This window comes from Homo sapiens, chromosome 7 (assembly GCF_000001405.40).
Source record: "Homo sapiens chromosome 7, GRCh38.p14 Primary Assembly".
NCBI classification, from domain to species: Eukaryota; Metazoa; Chordata; class Mammalia; order Primates; family Hominidae; genus Homo; species Homo sapiens.
In genome coordinates this window covers 142,609,651-142,637,467 of record NC_000007.14, presented here as the reverse complement: position 1 = coordinate 142,637,467, position 27,817 = coordinate 142,609,651, and the positions used below count along the sequence as shown (strand labels likewise).

General features: G+C 40.3%; 1 pseudogene, 3 gene segments (V, D, J or C) and 1 further gene, besides 13 other annotated features; all 5 read right to left on the bottom strand.

Annotated features, from left to right (window-relative positions):
* TRB (T cell receptor beta locus) overlaps positions 1-27,817 on the bottom strand; it is a 514,277-nt gene that overhangs the window by 175,820 nt on the left and 310,640 nt on the right.
* Positions 45-53: a recombination feature (RSS_nonamer).
* Positions 54-76: a recombination feature (RSS_spacer).
* Positions 77-83: a recombination feature (RSS_heptamer).
* Positions 84-544, bottom strand: TRBV21-1 (T cell receptor beta variable 21-1 (pseudogene); annotated as a pseudogene). Its single transcript is given in 2 exon segments — positions 84-381; positions 495-544. Coding segments are annotated over 2 exon segments (348 nt in total), but the record flags the coding sequence as incomplete, so codon positions are not given.
* Positions 4,621-4,915: an enhancer, noted in NCBI's record as "tiled regions #1556 and #5446, which are identical; HepG2 Activating non-DNase unmatched - State 12:CtcfO, and K562 Activating DNase unmatched - State 12:CtcfO". NCBI's record gives its function as "activates a minimal TATA promoter and a strong SV40 promoter by Sharpr-MPRA in HepG2 and K562 cells {active_cell/tissue: HepG2 | K562}" and the evidence as "EXISTENCE:reporter gene assay evidence [ECO:0000049][PMID:27701403]".
* Positions 10,030-10,038: a recombination feature (RSS_nonamer).
* Positions 10,039-10,061: a recombination feature (RSS_spacer).
* Positions 10,062-10,068: a recombination feature (RSS_heptamer).
* TRBV20-1 (T cell receptor beta variable 20-1) lies at positions 10,069-10,741 on the bottom strand. The segment is given in 2 exon segments: positions 10,069-10,372; positions 10,711-10,741. Coding segments are annotated over 2 exon segments (335 nt in total), but the record flags the coding sequence as incomplete, so codon positions are not given.
* Positions 17,897-17,905: a recombination feature (RSS_nonamer).
* Positions 17,906-17,928: a recombination feature (RSS_spacer).
* Positions 17,929-17,935: a recombination feature (RSS_heptamer).
* Positions 17,936-18,411, bottom strand: TRBV19 (T cell receptor beta variable 19). The segment is given in 2 exon segments: positions 17,936-18,230; positions 18,363-18,411. Coding segments are annotated over 2 exon segments (344 nt in total), but the record flags the coding sequence as incomplete, so codon positions are not given.
* Positions 21,014-21,022: a recombination feature (RSS_nonamer).
* Positions 21,023-21,045: a recombination feature (RSS_spacer).
* Positions 21,046-21,052: a recombination feature (RSS_heptamer).
* On the bottom strand, positions 21,053-21,671 carry TRBV18 (T cell receptor beta variable 18). The segment is given in 2 exon segments: positions 21,053-21,350; positions 21,623-21,671. Coding segments are annotated over 2 exon segments (347 nt in total), but the record flags the coding sequence as incomplete, so codon positions are not given.

Here is a 27,817-nt window from a genome sequence, read left to right as displayed (position 1 = left end):
CTACCAACCTGCTACACACTTATTTCCTGAGCTGGGTCCATAATGAGTTTGTGTTCTAAGAAGGGCTAACATTCGGCACTGTGGCTTTGCTGCTGGCACAGAAATACAGTGCTGTGTCCCCTGACTCCGTGGACTGGATCTCCAAGGTACAGGATGAGTTTTTGGAGCATTGGGCTAAAAATCGCTCATTGATTATTTCTGCTTTCTGAATAAGTTCTTCGTTCTGAAAGTAAACCAAAAACTTGAGCTCTTCTTCCAGCTTCTTACGATACCAGTAAACATAACTATGTGCTTTTATAGGAACACAATCCATCTTTGCTTTCTGTTCACTTGCTTTGGCCAGAAGTCTAGGTCTCTGGGTGACCTTGGTGTCCGTGGAGCCTGTGGAGGAAGGAGAGAGCAGCTGTAGAAAAAGCGCAGGAGGGAGCTTGATACTGCAGCCACCGGAGAGAGTCTTGGAACTGAAATTCAACCAGTTCAGAACAGGGCCTTACCTGGCTCCCCAGAAAGAAATGGCCACACAGCAGAGAAGTCTGAGGCACATGGTTGGCTCAGAAAGAAATCGTAGTGGTAGCTTTTTCTGTAAGGCTTCTTCACCCACTCTCCTAGCCCCCGTCAGCAACCTCCTTGTGACGTGATCACTTTCCATAGCCTTTGTAGATGCTCTGTACATGGGACAGAGTCATTTCAATTTCAAAGAATGTAGGAGGGCAGACTTTGTTTTAGCTGTTAAAAATAGTGTAAGTTTCAGCCTGCTTTTAGTTTTTTTTTTTTCTGTTACTCACTGTTTTGCTATTTTTTTTAAGTAAAATCACTCATACATTTATTTACTTAAAAAATTATTATACTTTAAGTTCTGGGGTACATGTGCAGAATGTGCACTTTTGTTACATAAGTATACACATGCCATGGTGGTTTGCTGCACCTATCAACCCATCATCTACATTAGGTATTTCTCCTAATGCTATCCCTCCCCTAGCCCTCCATCCCCCGACAGGCCCCATGTGTGATGTTCCCCTCCCTGTGTCCATGTGTTCTCATTGTTCAGCTCCCACTTATGAGGGAGAACATGCGGTGTTTGGTTTTCTGTTCTTGTGATAGATTGCTGAGAATGATGGTTTCCAACTTCATCTATGTCCCTGCAAAGGACATGAACTCATCCTTTTTTATGGCTGCATAATATTCCACGGAATATATGTGTCACATTTTCTTTATCCAGTCTATCATTGATGGGCATTTTGGTTGGTTCCAAGTCTTTGCTATTGTGAACAGTGGTGCAATAAACATGTATGTGCATGTCTCTTTATAGTAGAATGATTTATAATCCTTTGGGTATATACCCAGTAATGGGATTGCTGGGTCAAATGGTATTTCTGGTTCTAGATCCTTGAGAAATCTCCACACTGTCTTCCACAATGGTTGAACTAATTTACACTCTATTTACTTTTTTAACTTGTCAGTTTGCTTCTTCCCCTCCCTTCCATCTCAGGTAAGGAATCATACAACTCGGTCTTTACAAATAGTAGCTTTTGACACACTTATAAAATCACATAGCAGCTGCTTTACATTAAGTAAGTATTTATTTATTTATTTATTTATTTATTTATTTATTTATTTATTTATTTTTGAGACGGATCTTGCTCTGTCTCCCAGGCTGGAGTGCAGTGGCATGATCTCAGCCCACTGCAGCCTTTGTCTCCCGGGTTCAAGCAGTCTCCTGCCTCAGCCTCCTGAGTAGCTGGGATTACAGGCCCCCACCACCGCACCTGGCTAATTTTTGTATTTTTAGTAGAGACAGGCTTTCACCATGTCACTGGCTGGTCTTTAATTCCTGACCTCAAGTGATCTGCCCACCTCAGCCTCCCAAACTGTTGGGATTACAGGCATGAGCCACTGTGCCCGGCTACATTAAATAATGAAATGTTGAACTATACAGAACAATATTTATGACAAATATGCAATGCATATATAGAAGCAATAAAATGAATACCTTTGCCTGAACCAATCAGCTTAAGAGTTAGATTATTGCTGAAAATTTCTCAGTCCATGTTACTCTTTTAGATTTCCTCATTGTTTCTCCGTCATGCCCAGGTAGGTGTAATCTGAAGTTTAAATTTGTCATTCACTAGCTTGGCATTATAGTCTTTAGCATTTACACAAGAATCTGTAAATTATGTAGTATTTAATTTTGTGTGTCTTTGAAATGTATCTAAGAGGAATCAGCTAGTTTATATATTTTCTACAATGTTATTTTTTCATTCAACATTAGGTCTGTGATAATACGTTGACACACAATCTAGACAATTTACTTTCGCTGCCATCTAGTATTACATTATATTCATTGGCTAGAATTTATTCATTCTTGAATTAATGCACACTAATTTTTCCCTGGGTGTTTGTGCTGCTACAAACAGTATTGTATTCTCGAACATGTCTCTGCTTTTCTAGGTGCAAGATTGTTGCCATACCTGGCAATGTAAAGACTGAGTTTTCAAGTCAACATGTCAACTTTACATAACATAACAAAATGCTTTCCAAAGTGATTAAGCCAAATAAGTGATCCCACCAACAGCTCATGAGTGTGTTCAGATGTTCCACATCTAGGACTACACTTGCTATTTAATATACCTTTAATTTTGCCAGTCTAGTATGTTAATATTATCTCATGGTGCAATATAGTTTTTGTTTGCTTCTTTCTGGTTGCTAAGGAGGTTGAATATATTTGATATATTATAGGCCACCAGTGTTGCCTGTAAACTGCCCTTTGTCCATATTTCTTTTTGGTTGATTAGCTATTATTTATTTGTAACAGTTTTTTCTAGACTCTGGATACCCAACCTTTGTCAGCTATGTGTGTTGCTAATATCTTTCCAATTTGTGGTGTATGTCTTTATTCTGTTTGTGCTACTTTTTGTTGGGTTTCTTTAGTAGAATGCATTATTCTTTTATTTGGGGTAAACATGTTTTTTAATTCTTTGTTAAAAAAAATCTTCCATAGCCCAAGTTCATGAAGATATAATCCTTATTATTTACCAAAACTCCTAACATTTTGAATTTTGCATTTAAGCATTTAATTCACTTGTGATTTATTTTGACATATATTGTGAAGTAAGGTTTAAATTCATCTTTCCTTGTATGGATAACCACCTGTTCCAGAATAACTTGTATATTACATCATTCCTCCGTATATCTTCAATAACACCTCTATTATATATGAAATTCCTGTATATTCATGGGCCTATTTTTCATTTTCTGTTTTCCATTTGCCTATTTAATCACGCTTCTTTCATTATCCTAAATGATAACATAATTTGATAATTGGTAGAGCAATTCACATCACTTTTTGTACTTCTTAAATATTGCTTATTTTTGTTCTTTTTCACTTAGTTGTAGATTATTTGACAAATTTCATAAAGTAAATCTTTTGTAGTTTGATTACTGTGGTATTGAATATATAGATAATACTGCAGAAATTGAAACAACCTTACTATTGGATTCACTTTTTCATGATCATGTTGTATATCTTTACTTATTTCAAACTTTTTTTTTTTGAGACGGAGTTTCTTTCTGTCGCCCAGCCGCCTGGAGTGCAATGGTGCAATCTCAGCTCACTGCAACCTCCGCCTCCCGGGTTCCAGCAATTCTCCTGCCTTAGGCTTCTGAGTAGCTGGGATTACAGGCACCCACCACCATGTCCAGCTAATTTTTTGTGTTTTTAGCAGAGACAGGGTTTCACCATGTTGGCCAGGCTGGTCTTGAACTCCTGACCTCAGGTGATCCAGCCACCTCGGCCTCCCAAAGTGCTGGGATTACAGGTGTGAGCCACCGCGCCCGGCTTATTTCAAACTTTTAAAATAATTCCCTTAAATGTATTTATTTAGAGACAGAGGCTAGCTCTGTCGCCCAGGCTGGAGTGCAGTGGCATGATCTCGGTTCACTGCAAGCTCCGCCTTCTGGGTTCAAGCCATTCTCCTGCCTCAGCTTCCGGACTAGCTGGGACTACAGGCGTGCACCACCATGCCTGGCTAATTTTTTTGTACGTTTAGTAGAGATGGGTTTCACCCTATTGGCCAGGCTGGTCTTGAACTCCTGACCTCATGATCTGCCCGCCTCGGCCTCCCAAAGTGCTGAGATTACAAGCGTGAGCCACTGAGCGCGGCCCTGATTCCCCTAAAATTTTAATAGTTTTCTGCATGATAGTCTTGCTAATCTAATAGATTTGTTCTTAGGTGTTTATTTTCTATTTTATATCATTATTTGTAAATTGTCTCTCGTTAAAAAACATAACTGCTTGTAGTATGTGAAAATAAAATAATGTTTTATATTTATGTTAAATTCAGTAAACTTACTACATTTTGTTATTGATAATGCATTGCTTCTTTAGACCCTTTTGAATCTCTATAAATAAACTTGTCGTGCGCCAATACTTATTTTTCTTTCCTTTCTCATTTTCAACTTTTTCCCCTTGTTTCACTGGTTGCAAATTCAGCACAATGTTGAATAGAAATCACGGTATTATTCATTTATATATTTATCAACTGTGTAGAAATCACACAACTACAGGTGCCAGATATGGGTAAACGCTAAGGGTTATTACAAAATGTTAAGATTAGATCCTGCCATTTTAAAGACCAATTGGCCTCCCAGGATATCTGCAATTTTTTTGGTCAGTCAGTACCTAAACATCTCATCTGAAATATCCGGTGAAGCTGTGAGTCCCCACTTGATGAGCGGCAGATATTTTATAGAAAGATCCACATCACCCTCTAGTGGTCAAAGGAGCGAATTCATCCAATGCCCGCGGAGCTCTGCCTCGGCCTGCCTGAGTCGGGAGTGGCCCGCCCGGCAGCGAGGCAGCAAAAAGGCATTCCAGGTATCAGAGCGAAATTAAGAAAAAAGCAGCACTTGATGTGCTACCTGCCACATACTCCACAGCATTGTTACTAGCAATTACTTACACAATTATTCAGCCATTAGTCTAATGCCGATGGTGGTTTATCAGTGCATTTTGCCTCCCTCAACCTTTTATAGTCCCCCAAGGCAGGTGTGCTCCCTAAACCGCTATCCTATGCTCTCTGATCTTTTCATTGTAAACTGTATATCAAGGGATTGGAGGCACTTTCATTCTTCCAGTGATGCTAAATGTCCCAAAGGTGTGCTTCTTATCCAGATCCATTTTCTGAGTCCATGACTTGTACATCCAACTGCTCTCTGCATATTCCTGGTTAGATTACTGTCCCTAAGGCACTCCCAATCTCAAAGTAAATCTTGATCTTCTTCCCACTTGGTCCTTCTTATTTGTCTGTGTGTAGCAGTCTCTCTTAATCACCACCCACCACCCCCTGCATATTGCTGCTCATGTCTAATCAATTGCCAAGTCCTTTGATTTACTTCCTTTTAAATGTCTCATTTTCCCCATATTTCTAACACCATCATCATTATCTGAGCTAAACTACTGCTTGCCTGAGCTAAGTTTTTCCTCCGCATCAACTCTGTTCACACTGCTGGAGGGTGGCAGCATAAGCCTCCCAACCCTCTGCCCAAAATATGCCACTTTGGCATAAGGAATATTTTGAGCTAGAGGCATTAAAGACAATAGCAAGTATAAGAGGAGTACTCTGACCCTTCCCCTTTTCTTCTTGAAAAATGGAATAAGCTTCCCATATAAAAGATGTCTTATCTATACCAGGAAAAAAGAATATTCTTAACATCCAAGATAGAATGGGATGATGTTGAGGCCAAGGAATCTGTAACAAAAAAAGCTTGTTAAACTAATCCTCACCTTCCTAGTCACTTTGCCATTCAACCAGCAACCCTAGCCTAAGCCCCTTTACTTTTTCACCTTTCCACAATGTATGACCCTTTGCCCAATTCAATATATGAATGTTCAACTCTAACTGCACATTCAGTTCTTCCTTTAATTATGGGGGCTTTCATGTGATGTAAAACTTGTATTAAATACATGTGTATGCTTTCCTTCCTGTTAATCTTCCATTCTCAGGACCAGCCGAAAAACTGCAAGAGGGTAGAGGTAACATTTTGCCTTCCCTGCATGGTCCATTATTTCTTCACTTTGTGACCAGGGTGATTAAATACACAGATACACACACAGCCACGAATCTGATTACTAAAGAAGTCAAATGTTGAAAACCTCAGTGTCTCCTATTAAGCTTTATGTTGGATTCTGTATCATTTACCTTGACCAGTAAGGTTCTGAGTGGTCTGGTGCCTTCCTGCCTTCTTCAATTTTGCCCTGTACTCAACCACCTCCTCCCCCTGCTCCTGTCACTCTGCTGACTTCTTTCCTGTCATTAAACACACTAATTTCTTTCCTGATTAAAACATTTTGCACTGGTTCTTTAATCTTTCTTAAATGCCCTTGAATTCATTATCCCTCGTCCCACTTAATTAACTCTAGCTCATCTTGATGTAAGGTATTTAGGAATAATATTTAAAATTTCTTCCTATACCTTTTATTAAAAGGAGGATAACAATTAAATATGCAATATCAGGGGCTTCAGACTCTCCAGGGAGTATTTCATCAATAATTACTTTCAAGAAATTAGACATAGTTCATTTTTTAGGATAAAAGAGTCTTAACTGGTTTTCAAAAATGGCACCAGATAGGAGATTACAGATAAAAGACACTCACATATTTATGGGTAGTTAAAATTGACTACTGGTCAGTTAATAGGAGTCACACTGCTTTCCACATTCCAGAATGGAAAAACAGCAGCAGAGGTATGAAGTTGAGAAGTAGCTTATCAAATATTCATCTTTGGACACCTGAGATGGTGCATGTACTATAGCAAATGGGTTGAGACTCTGGGAAACCAGTTCGAGAGATTATTTTTGACATTAAGAATGGGGATATCCAAGGATATAGAGGAATTAGACGACCCTAGCTCCCTTGAAACCTCTGAAATTCTTCCCATGGCTTCTCCATTACTGGGAAAAACAGTGCCTCCGTGTGTGTGTGTGTGTGTGTGTGTATGTGTGTGTGTGTGTGTGTGTTGGGGAGGAGGATGTAAGAGTCTGTCTCTTACCTCACCCATCACTGCCTCTGAAAGGTGAACTTGATTTTAAATACAACAAAGCACAGAGAGTAGAATATAAAATCAGAACAAAAAGTTCAACACTTCAAAAAGAATTGCTAATCAAAAATTTATGTCATTCAAAATTTACAGGAAATGTGATAGGATTTTATTTTGTTGGTACTTGTCCAAGGAAGACAGAACACAAATATGGACTGAATGCTGTTCAATGCTGTTGTCTCGTTTCCTAAGGTAATATAGGTAGGCAGTAGGCTGTGTCCTTGACAGTCAGCTGGTTTGGGAATGTCAGGTCTGAACCCAGCAGCGTTCCATGCTAAATGTCACCGAAACACTACACTCCTCAGCTTAACGTAGACGGAAATAGTGACTGCGTGAAATAGGAATGTAACCACTGTCTCCCTGTTTCATGCCAGAGCCTTAAAAGCTCTTGTCTTTTCCATGCCGTTAGTGAAGCAGTGGAATATTTTATAAGTATTTTACTAGCTCTGTTCTCCAGGCTGAAAACGCTAACAGAGTAAAAGGCTACAACTAAAGTGGGTCCTGAGATCAGTGGCAATGGCACAGTCTGAGGTGACTGAACCCAGGTGGGGTATTTAACCACCAGCAACACACGGTCATAGCGGAGACGAAAAGCAGCAGCGTGTTCACTGCAGAATTGGCTCCCATCTTGTTCCAGTCAGTTCCACCTTGGTCAGGGGCCAGGTGTCATCTCCACGCTTTCACGTTCACCCTTATTGTCTAAACCCCTGTTCTGTGTTGCAAAGGGTTGACAAGGGTCCAGGTCTGTTGGGTGGTAGGTTGTCCGCTGTGATTAATTCAGCAGCCGATATCTATATGAGGATGGTAGCAGTTAAGCCACTGCTATTTCACTCCTGGTTTTGACTATAAAATGCCCTTGATCCTTTTCTTGTAAGAACTCTAATCTATTCATTTATTTGTTTTCTCTTCTTTTTGATGCTATATGCATTCAATTTTATTTATCTTAACCTGTGGTTCATAACACACAGGCATTGCTTGTCAATGAATATTTTTAAAAAACATAATAGGAACTTGTAAAACTTCTCCTCCTCAACATTATGCAAGATAGACCTTGATAATATTTCAATGTATAGCCATATAGTTCTCTCTCATTCTATTTCCTGCCATGCCCCAGCCTTATAAAAATCCTGAACTTGGGTCATTATTATTCCCTGCCAGTAGTGTGTTGGTAAAGGGTAAAGGGTTGACAGCTAAGTCTGGAGGAAAATAAAGCAAACCGTAATTTGCTGTGTTTGCTAATTTCTGTAGTGTAAATACCCTCACTATGGCCAATTTCAAGCTAACAAAATGATGTCACTAAAACTGGAGTTGGGAAAAATGTATACAGTCAGCTCCCATGAGCTGATAAAGTAGGCTCCAGCATACAACTCATCTTTGCTTTCCTTTCAATATAATTTGTTCTAATATATTTTAGTCCTGAAAATTATTTTCTTGACTTGTTTTTAGCTTTATGAAAAGCACATTATGCTTTGCATAATCTCATTAGACTTAGTTTTTACATTTGCTATTATATTGCTAAGATTCACCTATAACCTTGCTCTTCACTATAGTTCATTCATTTTGACTCATATGAATATGTCACAGTTTATTCATTCACTCTTCTCAGTGCATATGTGGCTTGGTGCCATGTTTTTCTACTGTTTGGTGCTGTGAAGAACACTTTTTTATTTATGTCTTCTGATATGTGTATGCAAGAGCTTCTCCTGATGTAAACCTAGGAGTGGAATTGCTGAGTTATGGGATATAGGAATCTTCAACTACGAGATAATGCTGAACTGTTTCCAAATGGTTGATAGTACTTATGCTCCCATCAGTAATTTATAAGTAATCCTATGAATCCATACCCTCGCTAACATTTTATATTTCTAAACTTTTTATATTTTGCTAATCAAGTGGATATAAAACTATGTATCATTGTGTCTTGCTTCATATTATCCTGATCATCAATGAAGTGAAATATCTCTATATGTTTATTAGTCATATATGTTTATTCTATTAAATGTATGGTCATATGTTTTGCTCATTTTCTGTTGGTTCATACAGATTTGTGGTCAATGTAAATGTTTGGTTTCTCCTAGGAAAGGATTTTCACTGTTCCACTTACTGTCTTCTAACTACTGGCAGAACTTTCCAACTCTGTAGACAAGCCATGTTGTCTGAGGTCTTCCTTCTAGGTACCTCTGCCCCCTCTTCCCCTTGACACCTTTCCCAGGAGCCAGCTCACCAGCACCTTCCCTAGCGATACATTCCGTATGGTGTGTACCTAGGCATAGAGGGTGCTCCCCTCCCTTTGTACCGAGTCTTACTCTGTTCATTCATCAACCGAAACACCATGGAGAACATGATGGCGTTCAACATTTACAGGAAATGTGATAGGATTTTATTTTGGTGGCCTGGTCTAAGGAGGACAGAACACAAATTTGGAGTGAATGCTATTCAATGCTGTTGCTATCCTCCCCTAAGGTAACGTATTCATGCATAACTCTCTACTTGGCTGCCTCTTGGTTATCTTTGTCTTGAGAGCCCAGCATGATGACAAGAAAGCCAATCGCTGAAGTTTATTATAGGAAATACACAGTGATTATACAACTGTCTTCATATCTACCTCTAGGATTATGTGTAGATCTATTCAAGAATACATGACTAATGTGGCAGAGTCAGGGCAAAATTCCAGGTTTTATAATTTTCAGGGAACTTTCCATGTCCGCCGACCACTTTAGGCCCAACTCTATTGCCATTTCGTGGGTCTCAAACACTACACCTCCTCCATACTCCACACTCACAGTGCTTCTTTTCTTTTTCTCCCCCTCCCCCCCGCCCCACCCCCTGCACACACACTCCCAGATGTCTCAGTCAGGAAAGCTGTGGTTTTCCATTCTCCACGCTTCCCCTCTCAGCACTCAGGGGGCCCGCTGGGGCGGAGGGCAGCTGCAGGGGTTCTTGCCGCGGTGTCTGATCCCCTCCTGGCGCTGTGTCTCTAGCACTGCAGATGTAGAAGCTGCTGTCTTCAGGATGGGCACTGGTCACTGTCAGAGTGGACAAGGTCAGGCTTGCATGGTTGATGAGAAACTTGTCCTTCTCGACGCCTTGCTCGTATGTGGCCTTGGAGCCCTCATTGGAAGTTGCCATCAGCATGAGACTCTGTTTCGGGAACTGACGATACCAAAACATAGTTGTGGCCTGAAAGTCCAGGGAACGGCACTCGATCTTCACAGAGGTTCCACTCTTACAGATAACCCTGCTCGGATGTTGAGAGACGACAGCACCAAGCCCGGAGCCTGCTGAGACAGAAGCCAGAGAGAGAGGAGAGCCCAGTGGGAGCCGAGTCAGACAGGACGCCAGGCAGAGCTGAGCCTCACTCCCTCCCTGTGCTCCCAGCTCCTGGAGAGTCCTGTTTGTTTTGTGCAATCTTCCCGTCATCTCCCTAGGGCCATAATCCCCCATCTCCTCTGACCGGCGGCTTTCACCTTACCATTTACACCTCTAGAGAGCAGGGCCTCTCCCTCTCCCTTCGATGAGCATAAACAATCCACATTGCAACCCTGCTGGCCACCACTTGACCATGCCAACACACGCACATGCCCACCCAAGCTCCCAGGTAGAAGGAGGCTTATACCTGGCCCCAGAAGCAGCAGAAGCAGCAGCATCTTCCGTGATGGCCTCACACCACCTTCTCTGGGGAGAGTTGTGACCACTGCCTCCATTCACCAGCGAGGAGGGATGACTGATCACAGAATCCCAAGGATGCCCTAGTCTGCCCCCTGGTGGTAATCTTTGCCCATGACTGATGTTACGTCCATCTCTGCCTGTCAAAAAACCATACAGGTCGGGTGAGGTGGCTCACGCCTGTAATTCCAGAACTTTGGGAGTCCGAGGCGGGTGGATCACAAGGTTAGGAGTTCAAGACCAATCTGGCCAACATGGTGAAAACCCATCTCTACTAAAAACACAAAAATTAGCCAGGCGTGGTGGTGGACACCTGTAATCCCAGCTACTCAGGAGGCTGAGGGAGAGAATTGCTTGAACCCAGGAGGCGGAGGTTGCAATGAGCTGAAATCATGCCACTGCACTCCAGCCTGGGTGACAGAGTGAGACCCCATATCAAAAGAAAACAAAAAACCCATACATTGCCTAAAGTGGCCTAAAGACTTCCCAATTCAACTTCCAAATTTATTAAAGATACACTGAGACATAAAGCATTGTAATGACTTAAGTGAGTTTCCTATAAGGAAAGGAGTGTAGGTTTAGGTAATGAATGGCATTGGAGTCTGTTTGCTGCTTCTGTTTCATATCCTCAAAGTAATAACACCAAGACAACTCATGGTTGTTAATCACTAGACCCACAGGTTGGCACTACCATAAATATTGATAAAGCACAGGCCAGTGCCTCGGCTGGAAGTCCAATGTTTCTTCATAATCATGTTGAAGCCACTTCATCATTTTCTAAATGAGATAGTTACCTCATGTGTATCTCATGACAATTTCCCTCATATATAAAGGGACTTAATTCTAAACATTCTAATAATATTTCTCAATTTAGCTTGTATGTTTCCGTGTTAATCACTGTTGAGGTTGTGAGAATAATTAAATTTATTCTATTGTAATGGAGGTCATACTAAGTACTGGACAGTGAAAATAGTTTCTAGGAGGCATAAGAAATTCTTTGATTTGAACAGGCTGGGATACTTGTTTTAATGGATCGATGTTGGAAATATGTAGCAATTACAAGGAGCTGGAAAGTTTTTTTGAAAGCCCTATGTTTTCATTTTTATAACAGCCTCTCAATTGTGCTTTCATTTAATATTTAGTTCTGCTTCTCTGGCATAGGTAGCTAGAAAAGATAAGATTAAGACTTCGCCCATCATATTATGTTTGTGCAATAGTGAAATCGTTTTATAACAAATATAGCTATTGCATTATGTTAATATTGACATATCTATTAAAGGGCATCTGTATGCTCCTGTGGCTGCATTTTTTATTTCCTGGGTATGTTGGGCCTCATTAAAATGAGGCCACTTCATACTGTAACTGTACTTTTTCTGCAAAGAATAAGTAGGGACAGCTTGCTATGGGTGACCTCTGGTCCAATATTATGATATGTCTGGGAGGGAGTGGCTGGAAGACCTTCAGATCAGAAGAAAATCTTCCTATTTATTTTGAGAAACACTAATTGTCAGGTACAGATGGTCTCATGATGGTTCAATGACTTTTCAACTTTACAATGGTGCAAAAGCAATATGCATTTCAGTGTGCTCCTTGACTTATGATGGGGTTATGTACAGATAAGCTGGATATTGTAAGTTGAATTATGATGTTTTCAATTTGTGCTGGATTTATCAGGATATTACCCCACTGCAAGTCAAGGAGCATCTGGATATTCTTGTGGGGTTTTATCACTGTGTCAACTTAGCTAAGCAAGGAATATGTTTCGGACAACTTTTTTCCTAGTATGGTTCCGGGTTAGAGTTGATCATGGGGTAAGAAATGCAGGAAGTTTGTAAGGGGAAAGTAAAACAGCTGCTACTGAGTTCTGAAGTCATCACTGGCTCCAGGCAGTAAGGAGTAGCATCAAAAGTGCCGGTGAGTTCCAATTTATGCTGACTTTCCCCTGCTTCACATCCAGCTCTTTATACCGACTGCCAGCCCTGCTGACCAGGAGGGACTGCAGTGCCACCACCAAATTTTCTGAGAACTCACAGGGCTATTGGCACATAGAGTCAGCCATCTTCATAGATTCCTACACCAGCCCCTTCAGGGTTCCATATAGTGTATGGATATAACAGCTTAATGCAAAACTTAATGCGAAGTCCAGTTCATCCACCTTCACCAGAGCTGGTTAGAGTTGTTTTTTCTGACCCTTTTCAAACTTTCACTTATCCATCTTCTCCCCAAATTGTGTCAGGCCTCATTCCTATAATATATTCTTTTGTTCCTTAATGCTCATGGTGGTTTTTCTTCCCTGACACTTCCATTTGTGTTATGGGTTTGCCATAGCCAAAACCATACATTGTCAATAGCTAGTATGTGCTATGACTTTTCATTTTCTGAGACTACTTCAAGGCCATCTCTTAAAATTAGTCAATGTGACCAGTTTTCTTGGTGTCTGGGGGACTTCAGTATCCATGAGAACTGTTGGAAAAAGAGATAGAAGTTAGAGTCAGAGGCCTGGCACCAAAGGGCTGTGGCACAAGAAATCCTTGGTGTTGAGATCTGATAGCCCATAATAGGGCTCTACATCTTTGCCTGGGATAAATCTACTACTAGGAATCAAAGGCCATGCAGCAGAGAAGCATGCTTAATAGGGCAGACACAGAATATGATGGATCCTCTTTCTGCTCTGAGTTGGTATACTAAAGTTTTGTGCAAAAACAATGACGATTAAAGATGATGGTTAACACATAGGTAGGTAATTGTAATTAAGTATTGGTAAAATAAAACAATACTTCTAGTTATGGTAGATCTAACATTCTGACTATCCAAAATATTGGAAATCATGAAGGGGAACCATAGGTGTTAATTGTTCTAAAGTTCACATAGGCTTCAGGAGAATGGTAAAGATAAGACTAATCTCAGATTTTCTTAATATAATTATATAATAAAATGTTACAGTTAACCATCAAAAAATGAAAATGAATTGCGGACTTCTGAAAGGCAAAATAATGAAATGAGAAAAATAGTCAACAAAAATAAGGTCATGCATGAGGGAAGAAGAAACCAAAATGTGAGAAAAATTAATGTACAAAACCAAGCAAGAAACATAACTCAAAACCCAGGAAATCACCTTCTATAGAAAACTATACAGAAATACATTTAAGACAATAGACTGAGGATTCTAGTTCTATAAATCATGGGCTGAAAAAATACACACTGCTTATGAAATACCCACCTGAAGAATAAAAACAACAAAAAGGCTGCATGTAGAAAGGTTGAAAAAGAAATACTTGACAAATACAATCTTAAAAACATGAAATAGTTTTATTGATGTCATCCCAAAAGGACTTCAATGCAAAAAGAGCAGCAGGGAAAAAATAAGAGTACCAAGTAATGACACAAATTCAAATGGCTGTGGTGTGGTATTTGGTCTTCAAAGACACCAGCCTGATGAAACACACTGGCCAGTGGTCACCTTCCCAGGGGTGCCCTTCTCTTGAATCCGAGCTGGCTGGATTGTGGTGGAGGTGTCACTGCATATTTCTCAGGCTGGGCTGTAAGGAGCCTAGTTGACCACACCCGGGTCTCTTGAATGCTCACAGTTAGGGTGGTCAACGACCATGCCAAAACTTTAGCTGCCTAGAGGCCACCATGCTGTGAGACAGCTCATCTAATCACATCAAAAGGCTGTGTACAGAGAGAAATGCTCAGCGGGTCCACAGCTACTGCAGCCATCCCAGGTAACGAACCAACAGGGGCACAAAAAAGCCACCTTGGATATTCAGCCTAGTTGAGTCTTCAGATATCTTCAGCCTCAGTGACTATCTGACAGTGACCATGTGAGCAGCCCTAAGTGAGAACTGTCCAGCTGAGCCCTTCTACAGAATCACAAGAGATAATAATATGTTGTTCTTTTAAATCACTAACTTTTGGAGTGGTTTGTCACACAGCAATAGATTATTGGTCAAGATAATATACTTGCCATTTTAAGTTTTCTAAGTGAGGTATAAAATACATAGACTGCACAAATCTTAAGTGTTCAGCCCAATGAATTTTTGAAATGAATATACTCATGTAATCATCACCCAGATCAAGATATAGAATTTAGAATTCCAAAAGCCTTCCTCATGTCTCCCTCAGAATAAATACATAATGCTACCAAATTTAATCACTATTCTGACTACATACTGTATTATTTTGTGTCTACTATATTTTATTCAATGTTATATTTGAAATATCTGTGTTGGAAATTACACTTGATTTTTTTGTGCTATATTGTATTCTGTTACATAAATGTAACACAATCATTTCTCCATTGCATTGTCAGATGTTGAATATTTTCCAATTTGGAGCCATTGGGAATAAAGCTGCTATTGTGGTAGTACCTTTTTCTCACACGTTAAATATCCCTTTCTGCTTCCTAAGAATTCTGGACTATTTCTTCAATTTTTAAACAGTTGACAAATTGGTTTTCTGACTTGTCTAATTTACAATTTGTTATGTTCAATGTGATTTTAAATAGAGCAATTATGTTTATTATGTTAAAGAAATACAGTTCTAGATTAAAATTTTATATAAATTATCTTCCTATTTAATAGATGCGATGGCCTCTCAAAACTTGCTAAGAAAACATTCAGTGATATTTTACATTTTAAAAATTTCCTGTCCTTCACTTCAGATGATATCTCTCTTACAACCTGGTTGTGGGAATGGAGATTATGATGAAACTTCATAGCTACAGTGTTCTTTTCAGTATTAAGATTACCCTGAAAAAAGCAAATGGTTAATAGTTTTACAGTAGAATTTTTGAAGTCTATTTAAGCTCTTATGCCCTGCTTTAATAAATTCCTCAACTGAAACAAAGGAATTTGTGTCCATTCTAGTCACGGACAAGAAAAACAAGGAAAAACAAGATTGTCTATCTCTTACTGTCTTCCCTTTCGTTTTCTTCCTCTCATTGGACAGACAGTCTTTCCCAATCCCATCACCTCTGGAAAATGGCTTGTATACAGGGCACAGATAGCACTATGGGACTGTGTCTTTCCCACCGCCATGAAGGTCCTTGGCTCCATCCTCTGGCTCAGAGAATGACTGATGTGTAGGCATCTGTGAATATGGTCTGAACGTTCAAAGTGAAGTAGCTTAGAGCCATCTCATTTCCAGTGTTTTACTTACTACCGTCAGAAAACATTAGTTTCAATGACTGGTTGTAGTTCTCATGATACCATGTTTTAATGTTCTTTAGATCCTTTTCAGGGAGAACTGTCTTTTCCATCTCTATGTTTTAGTATTTTGGTTTCTGTGGGACTCTGTGTGAGTCAAACTCCCATAGGCTATGTAGAAGAAGAAATCCAAAGCTAAACACAGAATCCAGGAAATAATTCGAAGAAAATTCGTGGAGCCAAGGCTTGTGTATTCTGGACAGGGACTCATATTTTTCTAAAAATTTCTTATCCCTGGAAAAAAAGGACAATACAGCAGGACAGACTAAGGTTATTTGATGCTTCTGACAATATTTTACAAAAATTTTCAACCAGCAGTTTTAGTTGTATTTGAAGAATAACATAGAAACATCAATTTCCAGAAATGTAATTATATGATCAAATAGACATGTGTAAGTCAACATAAGAAATAACACCACTTACACCACTTACCTTCTAATTCAAGGCATAGGTGGCAGAGCATAAAGAGAGAAAGCATAGAAGACAAGATCACCTGGGAAGTTTTACTCACACCTGTGTGCTTAACTATCACTCAAACATTTCTCTCAAGCCCAACCCTCTCTTCTAAGTGCCAGACCTGCACTTACGGAGCCTCTTGGATGTTTCTACACAGATATCCAATGAAGGACCACTAGAACAAGAAACTCAGTTTTGTTCAATAACTTGACTCCATTCATTTGTCCAAATTTTCCTCCATTGCCATATTCCGGTGGAGGAGGGAGTGTTGATAATTTTTTTCCTGGTATTATCTCATCACTCTTTCCTTTCATAGTTCCCTTAGCCTGCCTCCCTCTTTTGGTGCTTGCCCATCTGGTGAAATCCTACTTGCCCATCTGGTGAAATTTGAATAATAACTTTCATCTCAAAATTTGCTTTCTGTTTGACGCCCTTCCTGATGTCACCAGACAGAATTGGCCGTGTTACTTCCTATACTCCACTAACGTCTCTCATTAAAGCACGCGTCATATGAAATTGTGATTACAGGGTTTGTCTTCTACATCTCTCTTTCCACAGGCTTTTTTATCTTCCTGAAAGAAGGGAAAATTTTCTATTCATTCATTCATTTCTATTCATTCATCCATCTATTCATCTAGCATTCGGTAAAATAGAAAAAAGCTGGGGGTTGTAAGATTAACTTTTCCTTCTTCTCTGTGTCTCTCTGACTCTCTCTCTATGTATATATCTTATATACAACATATAACATATATATAACATATCTGTATCTATATCATATATAAACATATCTATATCTATATCATATATGACAGGAAACTTCACTCAGCCACTAAGTGGCTATACAAAAACTTTTATATAGTTTTTAAAAATAACTATATGAAACTATAAAACAGCCAGGCACGGTGACTCATGCCTGTAATCCCAGCACTTTGGGAGGCCGAGGTGGGTGGATCACCTGAGGTCAGGAGTTCGAGACCATCCTGGCCAACATGGTGAAACCCTGCCTCTACTAAAATACAAAAATTAGCCAGGTGTGGTGGTATGCACCTGTAATCCCAGCTACTTGGGAGGCTGAGGCAGGAAAATTGCTTGAACCCAGGAGGCAGAGATTGCAGTGAGCTGAGATCATGCCACTGCACTGCAGCCTGGGCAACAGAGTGAGACTCCATCTCCAAAAAGTAAATAAATAAATAAAACTACAAAACTATAGTTTAAAAAATGATATATATATATAGTTATATATATATAAAACTATACTTTAAAAAACTATATAAAACTATCATTTTAGTCTCATATAAAGTTTTAGTTATATATAAATGTATACATATATAGTTTAGTTTTATATGCATAGTTTATATATAGAGTTTTAGTTATATACAGTTTTTTAAACCTGCTTAGTGGCTGAGTGGCGTTTCCTGCCATCATAGAGTGCAGAGGAGCCCTGCCACCTGGTCGGGGAAGCAGGACTGGGCACATTTATGCACAGAGAGGCGACATCCGTGCTTCACTGTGTCTATACTACTGGCACAGAGATAGAAAGCTGTCGGGTTCTTTTGGGCCGATGTCACAGTGAGAGGAAAGGATTCCTTCTTCTCCCGAGAGACGCTGTACCCTTCAGCTATATCTCCTTTCTGAAAGTCATTTACTATCTGTGAGTAGTAGATCAATCTCAGCCCTTGCCCTGGGTCCTGTCGGTACCAGTACATGGCATCGTGGTTCAAATTCTGTTCACAACTCAGGGTCACATTCTGTCCTTCCTTTCTGAACAGGTACTTTGGGGACTGAGTGATTCCACCATCCACGGTGTCTGGAAAAGAAAGAGAGGCATGCCTGAGTACAGCCCAGGGAGGCGCCTGATGCTGCTGTCCCTCGGGGAGGCCTTAGATTTGGAACTTGCAGCACTCCAGATAGGAATTTTCTCCCTGAACCCAGGACTCACTTGCTCCCAGGAGACAAAGGACCACACAGCAGAGCACCTGGTTGCTCATAGTGCAAAGGGGGCCTTCTTGGAGCTCCAAGCACTTGTTGGAAGAGAATGAGAAAAGAGACTTGGCTCGGGGGCTTCTCCTGGCCTAATGTGCAGAGTTTGTCAGAGGCTGGAATGAAGAGGTGGGAGGTTCCTGGAGATAATCAAGACAGGCTTCCTAATTTTGCAGATGAGGAGACAGGACAGAGAGCAGAGTCATTCGCACCTCCCATAACTCTGCATTGCATCTGTGCTGAGGGGGCTGGCACCCCACGTTTCCGGGCCAGAGTTTCACCCCAATTGGCCCATTGGTTTTTTATCTTTCCAGCAACCATAAGGTTTGGGTTACTCCAGGAGCGCTGTAGATACTCTGATTATACAAGAATGTGGAATTCATTTATTTTTCCTTTTTTTAAAAAAACATTGATACATAATATGTGTACCTATTTGTGGGTGCCTGTGGTATTTTGCTACATGCATAGAATGTGTAATGATGAACTCAGAGTATTTAAGAAGTCCATCCCCTGGAGAACTTATCATTGTTTATGCCCTCAGCTCTCTCAGGGAAACTGTGACTCCTGGGGTCTGGCCAGTAGTGCTGTGGCCACTGTGACAACCTGCTGCTTAGCCGTCCTGCTGCACAGAGCCCAGTGCTGCTGTTCCAGGCCCCTCATGCAATCATACCAAGACCTCGCCTTCTTTGACCGCCTTCTAACTGGCTGGTTTCACTCATGTCCTTCTCATTCTGCTACTTGTTTCTTTGCCTTTGTTCAATGTCCTGACTAAATTTTCATTTGGGTTTATTCTCCCTTGGTCATCTTTTATTTTTCATGACTGGGATAACTTTGTCTTTTTCTTTCATGTCCCTCCTGGGTTCAATCAATTTGTGTTTTTTTCTGATGTCTTCCCATTTTGGCCATTTGTAGTCTGAGTTTTTAAAGTCCTGGTCTGGTTATGGTCACTTATATCCTCAGCTGCTTCCTTGAGTGTATTTATTTCTGTTTGGAGTGTAGACTTACATTATCTTCTGACTCATGATTGCTTTTGAGATGAGGGAACAGGGAACAGAGGTGAGATGTTTTCCTTTGTTGTACGGGTATTACTTTCATCTTGCTCATTTTCGTGTTATTGAGGTGTTTTACAAAATTCCTAGTCTAATGTTCCTTTGGCCATCATTCTAGCAAAATCCAGACTCCTTAGTGAGCTTTGTTTGTTTTCGTAGTGGGGCTGGTTGTGGGTCCTCTTGATTTGTGATTTCCTTTTGTTTTGCAGAATTCTCAGTTTTCCCCTTTTTCCTCTTTTTCTCCTCACTATTGAATTGCCAGAAGACCCTCTTTCTTCCTCTTTGCCTTTTTTTCCCCTCCCTGTAAAGCACTACCTTTGGAAGACTGTTTCTTTAAATTACATGTCTGGTGCTTTAAATGGCATGAAGTTTGGAATCCATCTTCTCTGCAGCCTTGCTGGGGTCTCAGGGTTGGTCTTTTTCTGGAAATCTCTCTGGATCTTTCTCAGGCTCCCAAGCCGGTGTCCCTCTTCTGTCTTCCTGGAAGATTTTCTGGGTTTTTCTCCTTTTGGGTAAAGTGAGGGAGGGGCAGGAGTACATTAAATGATTTTAGAAAATCAAAGGGCAAAAACTGCAGTGGAATCACATGGTTTATACTCCAAGCTGGTGAGGCTGGACTTAGTCTGCACATATATTTGAAATGACTTTGCTTTTGTCTGCCTTTTGATTTTATGAAATTGTTTCATCAAAGCAAATTATAACAAATCTTTTTCTGTAGGTGGCCTATATCTGTTGAGTGATGAGAATAAAAACAAACATTAAGACAAAAAGTTGAGGTGACACATTTCTAATGAACAATATCTGTGGGCCAGACCTTTTCCCTAAATTCTAGACAAATTTATCCAACTCTATTTCCATCATCTCTCAGATGTTCTATAATTTTATAGCAGGAATTCTTGAACCTAGCATCCGTAAAAACCTGCACGGGTACTCAGCAAGGAACAGAACAAGGATTATGCCTAAAAGAATGCTAAGCAGCATGATGTGAGATAAAAATCATAACCCTTTGAGCCAAATGCTTTTTGCCACCTACTAGGTTTCCTTCTCCCTTCCCTCCCCTCCCCTCCCCTCCCCTCCCTTCCCCTCCCTTCCCTTCTCCTCCTGTCCCCTCCCCTCCCCTTTCTTCCCCCATCTCTCTGTCTCTTTCTTTCTAAAAATTAACTCCTAGGACCATAATTTCTCTTGGTGAAAAGGAAGAAAGCACTTCCTTTGCTTGTGTGTCTTGGTGATTAAATAAAATTATTGATGTAAAGCATGAAATATAGAACTTGACATACAGTGTGGAGTAAAAAACAGAGTTACACTGCTAAGTGTTTTGAAACTGACAAATTAAGTCAATGTTGAAACTGAAAAATTATGTCTAGTTCTTAAAAATCTTTATGTTCTTTGGATGACAGAGTCTTAGTTTCTGAGCGTAGCCTGGGATGTTTCATGCTATTCCTACAATCCTCCCCTATTTCCACCCTCAACTTGCAGAATACCGTAGAGCTGACCTGTTCACTGTACAGGTAACGCGTTTCCCTTCCTGGCCCACCGCTGTTTCCAAGGCAGGTCTGGAGGATGTTTGTGGACTGAGAGGATGTGGCTCTGCATCAATGTGGGTGGTGAGCTGGCACAGAAATAAGCTGCCGAATCTCCTCGCACTACCTGCTGGATCCTCAGGATGCTGGGGCCCTCTTTGGGAAATTCAGCAGAAAATCGTTCCTTTGGCATTCCTGACTCATCTATGATATTTTCTTTCTGGAGATAAACCATGAATTTCAGACCTTCCTCTGGGAGCTGCCGATACCAGTAAACATGACTGTGTCCTTTCATTGGGCTGCATCTCAGTCTTGCCTCCTGTCCCCTCCTCCTGACCAGGTGTCTTGGGTTCTGCATGACGCCGGCATTTGAGAGACCTCAGAGGAGAAGAGACTGCATGAGACAGAGTTGTAATGGCAGAAGGATGAATGTCTTACAGTGAAGGAGCCTGTTTGAAGTCTCCTGCGTTCATTTAAAAACTCACATGAATTTTGCTTTTTACTCCATAATGCAATTATTTGTTTTCATATAAATGTCAATACCTTTCACAAAATATTTGGTCAACACAGAGGTCCAGGGTATATTTGAGAATCTGCTGTAGAGCCCAAAACAAAGCCCAGTGATGGTGATCCTTTAGCTGAAAACTCACCTGCCCCCAGAAGACAGATGACCGCACAGCAGAGTAGTCTGGTGTCCATAGCAGAGTTGGCCATGGAGGGAGCCCACAGGCAGGGCAAAGGCACTTGCTGCAGCACGTCGGGGAACCAGACCTCACAGCTGCCTCCTACAAGATGCATCTTCCTGTGAGGTCACCATTTCCAGTGGGTCCTATGGTTTCGAGAACCAATCTTATATGTCAGTTAAATGGTAGATCTTTTGTTCTGACCTATACACACAACCTAGCTTAGTGTGTGTTTGTGAGGTTAGTGTTGTGAAGTAAGCACCTCTATTACTCGTTCTTTTTTTTCCCTCTTCACCTTTTTTTTTTTTTTTTTTTCAAGACTGGATCTAGCTCCGCTGCCCAGGCTGGAGTGCAGCAGTGCAATCATATCTCATTACAGCCTCAATCTCCTAGGATCAGTCAAGTGAGTCCTTCATCTCAGCCTCCTAAGTAGCTAGGACTACAAGCCACCATACCCAGATAATGTTATTCATTTTTTTCATAAATGGGGTCTTGCTGTTTGCCCAGGCTGGTCCCAAATTCCTGGGCTCAAGCAATCCTCCCCACCTCAGCCTCCCAAGTAGATGATCTCTCCACTATTCTTATTTTTTGTTCCTTTATTTTCCTTTTATTGGCTTATATAATCTTTCTATTTTCTGGCTGTTGCTGAGTAGAGGTATTGACAAGAGGTGATATATAGATGCACCCATTAAGAGACAGGGAAGTGGACACCAACATTGCTGGAGGGAAAATTCGAGATAGAAAATGATTTCACATTGTCTCAGTTTGCTTTTTCACTCCCACACCTCAGCTAAGGGATGGCTTCAAGCATTTTCAGGGAACTTTAAGATTTGTAATTCACTTTTGTCACCTTCACTTATTCCACTTGAATTTTCAATATAAGTGATTCAAAGAACAAACTCTAAAAAGACTTCCCCCTCTGACCTCAGGTCCCGTTATTCTGCATACCTATCTGTATCATTCTCTGTAGTCATGCATGGGATGCCTGTGTTTGAGAGATCTTCCTTCCTCCCTTTTTATTTTTTATTTATTTATTTGAGACAGAGTCTCACTCTGTCACCCAGGCTGGAGTGCAGTGGCGTGATCTCGGCTCACTGCAAGCTCCACCTCCTGGGTTCACGCCATTCTCCTACCTCAGCCTCCCGAGTAGCTGGGACTACAGGCGCCCACCACCACGCCTGGCTAATTTTTTGTGTTTTTAGTAGAGACTGGGTTTCATCGTGTTAGCCAGGATGATCTCGATCTCCTGACCTCATGATCTGCCCACCTCGGCCTCCTGAAGTGCTGGGATTATAGGCGTGAGCCACCACGCCCAGCCTCTTCCTCCCATTTTTCTGTCCTTTCTCATCCTGCAGCATTGAATAAAAATTATGTGAAAGTCTACTTTGTCCCAGGAGTAGTGAAAGAAAGATACAGGAAACAAGGCACAATCTCACTCCATTGGATAGGCACCCCAGAGGAGTTAGGTGTATGACTTGAATAATAAATAAGATCATGTTAACATTTAGTGTCCAAATAATAATGACTCATGGTCTTACTCATATCAGAATCCTAGAGATCCAAAAATATAGTCTTTATTCTGATGTTGGAGCTGTAATTTTGAATATTTTCATGTTGAGTGTTGACATTTTCTTTAAAATTGAAATATAATTTGCATACCATAACATCCACCCTTTCAAATATATAATTAAGTGGTTTTTAGTATATTCACAAAGCTGTAACTGTCACCATGAATTCCAGAATATTTCTATCACCCCAGAAAGAAATTCTTTATCATTAGATGTCATTTCACTTTTATTCCTTCCCACAGCCCATGGCAATCATTAATCTATTTTCCGTCTTTAAGAATTTGCCTATTTTAGACTCTGTTTTTGTTGTTGGAGACTGAGTCTTGCTCTATTGCCAGGCTGGAGTGCAGTGGTGCGATCTCGGCTCACTGCAACCTCTGCCTCCCGGGTTCAAGTGATTCTTCTGCCTCAGCCTCCTGAGTAGCTGGGACTACGAGCGCGCACCACTACAAGCTAATTTTTGTATTTTTAGTATAGACGGGGTTTCACCATGTTGGCCAGGATGGTCTCGATCTCTTGACCTCATGATCCGCCTGCCTCAGCCACCCAAAGTGCTGGGATTACAGGCGTGAGTCACTGCACCCGGTCTATTCTAGACATTTTATATAAATGAAGTCCAACAATATGTGCCCCTTTGTGCCTGCCTTCTTCACTTTATATAGCTTTTCAATGTTCATCCATGGTATAGCATGTATCAGTGCTTTGTTCCTTTTTATCACCAGTTTTATTTTAGAAATAAAACCTATTTAGTTAATCCACTCATCAATTGATGGATATTTCCACTTTTTGAGTAATATGAATAATACTGTTTGAAGTGTGTGTATAAATTTTTTACGTGAACATATTTTTTATTGTCTGAGGGGTATACCTAGGAGAGGGATGGCTGGGTTACATGGTCATTCTATGTTTAACTTTTGAGTAACTGCTGGACTGTTTTACACAATGGCACCAGCAATTCTTGAGGGTCCCAATTTCCTCACATCTATGCCTACACCTGCTATTGTCTGGGTATCTTTATTACAGCCTACTGGGTGTGAAGTGGTATCTCATTGTGATTTTGATTTGCATTTCACTAACGACTAATGATGCTGAGCATCTTTCATGTATTTTTTGGCCATTTGCAGATCTTCTCTGGAGACATGTTTAGATCCTTTCTCATTTTTAAATTAGGTTATTTGTCTTTATATTATTGAGTTGTAAGAGTTCTTTATATATCCTTGATACAATTCCCTGTGAGATATATGATTTGCAAGTATATATCCATTTTGGGGTTGTCTTTCTTGAAAGTGTCCTTTGAAGCACAGACTTTAAAAAATGTTATTAAGTCAAATTTATCTTTTTCTTTGGTTGCCTGTGTTTTGAGTTTCATATTTAAGAAGTCACTGCCTACTCTGAAGGATAAGTCCCTGGATGGCCTTGGCAATGTGGATCTCCCTTTTCTCTTTTATAGTTCTTAAGAATAACTGTAGGATGTGCTAGCAATACCACATCCTGTGATAATGAGGAACTGGCAGGAAAATCCTGGCCTCTGTTCTTGTCTCTCCTGGAACAGGATGTCCCACAGTGCTTTAACCCATTAAATGTAGCCCCTGGGTTTAAAACCCAGGACAGAGTGCACTTTCAGAGCCACTCAGCTGCAATGCAACATGAGGCATATGCAGGCAAGATTCTATCCATCCTGTGTAGTTTTTCTGAGCCTTGAGAGACAAACTCACCATGAATCCTAAGCTTCTACTGTCCTTTGCTGCCTGTCTGTGAGTAATAAAGTTGCTTTGCTCAACTTGTTATATGAATCAGGCAAGTGATGGAAATTGCAGTTCAAGATGCAGTGGGCTGTGAAGTGGTGGTTGGCATGGTGATGACCTCCACTATCCTTCATGCATTTCTCCCTGGAAAATTAACACAATCCCCTGGAATTAGTAACAGTGCACAGCGAATCTGCTTCATGTATACCTGTTAGAATAGGTAGGCAGATATGAAGAGGGCAGGAGAAGAGACCCCCTCTCCCCCCTCCCCCCGACCCCCACCACACACACTCCAGAATGTCAGGTGATCATCAGGTGATGGTCAGGTGGTTGTTAAACTGTCTCTCAAAGATGATAATTAGTCACAACCAGCATCCGGGAAAGACAGTTTCCACATAGATAAAAAAACATCTGGAGCTTGTAATCAGCAGCTTCCCGATAAGATCTCTGGAGTTGGGCGAGTGGGCTCAAGCATGTGCACAGAGGCTAAATGACGGAGTTTAACTAACATATGACTCTAGGAACACCCCACTGGTAAGGGAAAAATGCCTCAAGTGAGCATGTGCGCAACTCCAGTAAGAACACTACATGAGCAGCCCCTCCCAAGTGCTGGCAGGCCACTGAGCACACAGACAGCTTGCCCCAAGGTGAAAACATCAAGGGAGGAGAAACACAAACCCTAGAACCATGGTGATGTGTAAAACCCTAAGTCAAGGGCTAAACAGGGCCCTTAGGTCTCTCAGGTCACCCGCTTGGCCCTCTTCCAAGTATACTTTGCTTCCTTTTACTACTACTCTAAAACTTGCCCGGGTCTTTTCCTCTGCCTTAAACTTCTTTCTGCCCCTTGGCCAAATTCTCTCCTCCTAGGAGCTAGAATTGAGTTTACTGCAGACCCATATGGATTTGCTGCTGGTTACATACACACCAAGGTCACAAAGATGTATACCTATGCCTTCTTCCAAGAGTTTTAGCTTCTACATTTAGGTCTTTAATTCATTTTGAGTTATTTTTTGTTTATGGTATGAGACAAGATACAACTTCACTCTTTTACACATACATACACAGTTTTCCTGGTACCATTTACCATTCTTTCCCCATTGAATGGTCTTGGCTGGCACTCTTGTCTAAAATTAATTGCCCATAAATTTATGAATTTATTTGAGGGTTCTCAATTCTATTCCATTGATTTATATGTTTATCCTGTTCCAGAACCATACTGTTTTGAATAATGTAGTTTAGTAATAAGCTTTGAAATTGTGAAGTGTGAGTTGCCCAACATTTTTTCTACTTTTACAACATTGTTTTGGCTGATCTTGGTACTTGGGACTTCCATATGAATTTTTACTTTGGTTTATCAGTTTCCAAAAAAAAAATACAACTAGAATTTTGAAATTTTGACAGAGATGAATCTATAAATCAATTTGGGGAGTGTTGCCACTTAACAATGTTAAGCCCTCCAACCCATGAACATGGAGTATCTTTCTATTAGGTCTTTAATTTCAACAATATTTTGCACCTTTCAGCCCACAAGTCTTTTCTGTTTTTTTTTTTGTTGTTGTTTAATTTATGCCAAGATATTTTATTATTTTGTTGGAATTATACACATAATTCTGCTCTTAATTTCATTTTCATATCATTGCTAACATACAGACATACAATAGAACTTTTGGTATCAATCTTTTATTCTGCACCTTGCTGAGCTTGCCTATTAAATCTAGTGGAGTTGTCTGTGTACATGTGTATGTGTGTGAGAATTCATATTTTCTATATACAAGATTATGTCAAGTGTCAACTGTAGTTAGAGATTGTTTTATATCTTCCTTTCTAGTCTGATTGTCTCTTATTTTCTTGAAATGACTAATTGCCCTGGCTAGAATGAGGTTGTTTCAGGTTGACTTTTTTTCTTTCAGTACTTTAAAAATGATGCTTTTCTATTTTTTTCCACTGGGTATCCCAGAAAAAAAAATTGTGCATACTTTGCCTAGACTTACCTGCTCCCAATAGACAAAAGCTTTATGGAAGAATTTCCACTCATCCATTACAGAGTGTGGCAGAGAATGCACACCTGCAGCTTCAGGTACCAGCTCTGAGAACAGTGAGAAACCATGCTGAACTTGGAGTTCTGCATGGATTCATATGCAGATTTTGTTTATTCTATTAAATGACAGAAGCCATAGATGAATGGTTCCTGGCTCAGATGAAGATCTGTTCTAAATTTTAAAATTTTAGATTCTCTATGGTCTAATTTTAAGCTACTTTTCTTAGTGTGTGTGTGTGTGTGTGTGTGTGTGTGTGTGTGTGCCTGTGTGTGTGTGTGTCTACGTGTAAGCCCTGAAGTATAAGGCAGCAGTGAGTGAGGTCACTGGTCATAGAATGAGCAGATAGTGAGTTTGTTTTGATTATAAGGATAGATATGAGGATATCTCAAATGTGCCACAATTTCAGAATGACCCCATTTGAATTTGTATGTCTTCTTTATTGAATATTCTCTTTCATCTGTGTTCCCTGGATTTGTTGGCCATATTTTTATTCTTGAAATCCAAGGGTCACCTTAATCCCTCTGATCTCCCTCACTTTTTACAGCAGACAGTGTTAAAATTTTGTTCATTCTGTATCCCAAGGGTTTATTCTCCTCTTTCAAATTCTGTTCCTGTTGTTTCAGTTCAAAGCCTCATAATTTCTTGTCTAGGCTATTCCAATAGTTAACTTTTTCTTTAAGAAATTTATTTTATTGTTTGTGCTATGAGACTTACCCTGCTAACACATTTTTAAGTGTATAATACAGTATTGTTAGCTATAGGTTAAATGTGCTAGCTTTTTTCTTTCCCATTTTAACATCCCTCCATTTA